The sequence below is a fragment of the Homo sapiens genome, chromosome 4 (assembly GCF_000001405.40).
Source record: "Homo sapiens chromosome 4, GRCh38.p14 Primary Assembly".
Taxonomy (NCBI): Eukaryota; Metazoa; Chordata; class Mammalia; order Primates; family Hominidae; genus Homo; species Homo sapiens.
Window position 1 is genome coordinate 100,101,981 of NC_000004.12, and position 2,816 is coordinate 100,104,796.

Genomic DNA, 2,816 nt, shown 5'->3' on the forward strand with positions numbered 1-2,816 from the left:
AAAAATGGAGTCAGGGACTCACTCTGTTGCCCAGGCTGGGGTGAAGTGGCACAATCATAGCTCACTGCAGCCTCCAGTTCCTGGTCTCAAGCAATCCTCCCACCGCAGCCTCCAGAGTAGCTGGAACTACAAGAGTTCACCACCAAGTCTGGCTAATTATAAAATTCTTTTTATAGAGATAAGGTCTCACTAAGGTTCCCAGGTTGCTCTTGAATTCCTGGCCTCGAGTGATCTTCCCACTTCAATCTCCCAAACTGTTGGGATTACAAGTGTAAACTGTCACATCCAGCCCATAATTTATTTATGATGGTGACCTATTCTATGGGCTAATGGAATATATTTATTTTATATTTTGTATTTAATTAGGTTTCTTGATTGATTACCCATCATGGATTGAAAAGTTATGTCAAGACCTAAAGGAATAAGGAAATCTCCATGAACTATATATAAGTCTAAAAAATAATGTAATGATAGTGAAGAGTAAAAGATATTAGATTGAATGAAAAGTTGATTACTTGATTGCTCCCAAGCTTCCTTTTTTTCCTGAACCTCAAATAAAGCTAAATTCTATTGTTTTTCATTTTAAGTTCTCAGGAAAATAGGAAAAAAATTAACAACATGAGGGAAGTTGTAAGACATGGGAAATGATAGAGTGCTTTACACCCAGGCCTGTGTAGACTGACTCCCCTGCTGAGATGGTAAGTAGGAAACCTCATTGTATTTTCTCCTCTACTTTTAGTTTTGAGGGTATTTTGAAACTTACCAAATGTTCTTATGTCTCTATTTTGTCAACGGATGACCACCTTTGATAATGACTCTTCACTCTGGTCATACTTCAGAAGATGCCAACAGGACAACAGAGCAGCAGGTGCCCTGCCTCAGGTGGACAGCCTCCAATCTTGGTGATGACTATACATTGTGTCTTCTTCCACATATCCATATAAATCTCATACATATTCATTTTTACTTTAAAATTTTATATTTGTATATTGAAATATATTTACTTAAGAAGAACATACTAAGTGCCTATGTGTGGCTTTGTATTATGTCAGCTTCACTAAACTGGAAGTATGTTTTCCAGACTTCACTTTCCTGTATGTTTCAGGGTAAGGGTTGTCCACAAGAGAAATTTTCATAAGATTTGGGAAACAGAAAAGAAGCACAGCCATTTTTGCATGCTCTGAAATTTGGTGCATGGTGCCAGTCATGACGGCAACCTGTGCATGCTGTCACTGATCTGCTTGGCCTACCTGGGTGGCCAGGTGGATAGCACCTGGGTCTGCAGCTTCTCCAGTTCTTGCTGGATTGTCTGCTCTGGACATTCTGTTTCCTAGCTCTATGTCAATGGGGATTAGCTTCTCTTGCAGGTTACCTGTGTTGTCGAGGTTGGAGGTAGTGAGAGACAGATACTGGTTCCAGTCTATCCTTGCTCTCTCCCACTTTGCATCCAGCTGTTCTTCCCAACTAGTGTTCCAGCTTGCATATTGCAATCTCAGGCCCCACATCAGATGCAGAGGAAAGATCTAGCTACTTTATTTTACATTAGTCATAGTAGTACTGCTTTTCTGGTTGATCCCTGACTGATATAGCCTATATATGTCAGACACTGTGCTGGGTTTGGAGATAGCAATGGTGAGCCAGTTCAGTATTGACCTTTTTTATAGAGCTTAAAGTCTAACTTAGGATATTATTATTATAATACAAAAGAAATAACATGTTATTTTTAATTTTCAATCAAGCTGAGGTTATTTAATAATGCTTTCATTTTTATAACCCTTTTTTACTTTTCAAAGAGCTTTCTTGTTATTTGCTCACTGTCACATCTTTGCAGCTGTGGAGAAGACTAAGCAGAGATTTAAGAATACTCCTATCCCAAGGTTGCACAATTTGTAAGTGGCAGGAATGTAGTCTTCTGATTCATATTCCAGTGCTTGTCTTAATGTGAAAGTTATGAAAATAAATCAAATTTTGTACTTTCATGGAGCAAATGTTACTATCAGATCAGTTGTGTCTACATTTCACCAAAATATTTACCAATCCAGAAAAAAAAATAAGCCAATATGAGATACTTGGCACCACGTAGGAAACCACATTGGATTTCTCAGTTTTCAAACAATTATCCTGATGTCAAGAAGATGTGACCCCAGAAATATGAAAAAAATAAAATGTCAGTTGTCTTGGTGACCTTTCTTTTGATGCTAAGCTTCATATAATAGGCATCTACAGGTTTCACTTTTAGACTGTGTTCTTCTACAGAGTGGCAGGAGAGATGCTGAAATTTGTGCCAATATTTCACTGGAGGTGATCATTTTCAATCTATGTACATAGGGACACAGCTGGAGTGACAGACACTTCTGCCAATTATGACACCTAGATGGATTTTGACAGAAAAATGACAGTCATGACAGCATTTCCTCCAGAGCCTAAAAACTGTGAGTAGGTCAGAAGAGTTATCCAGTAGGCTGTAGATTCTGTCTCCTTCTAAGCAACCAAAAGCAGGGTTGTTCCCCTCTGTGATGTCATTCCCTGAGAGTCAGAGTATGTGTCTATCATCCTTAATGTGGTTTTAAAGACATTTTATTATAAAGTTAATATATACTGGTTTGTAAAATTAAACTCTGTAGAAGGTTGTGGAGAAAAAAATATCTCCTATTTCCCCACCCCTATTTCTACTTCCCAGAGTTAGTCATTCTCAAAAATGTATATATATACACATGTATATGTATGTGTATATATATACATTTTTGAGAATGACTAACTCTGGGAAGTAGAAATAGGGGTGGGGAATATATATATGTATATATGTATATATATGT

At 37.6% G+C, this 2,816-nt stretch overlaps 1 long non-coding RNA gene across 1 annotated transcript; it reads left to right on the forward strand.

Annotated features, from left to right (window-relative positions):
• The first annotated feature begins 252 nt into the window (after positions 1-252).
• LOC107986232 (uncharacterized) lies at positions 253-2,482 on the forward strand. The gene is made up of 3 exons (XR_001741515.2): positions 253-698; positions 840-902; positions 1,832-2,482. It is a non-coding gene; the product is annotated as an uncharacterized LOC107986232 (long non-coding RNA).
• The last annotated feature ends 334 nt before the right edge of the window (positions 2,483-2,816 follow it).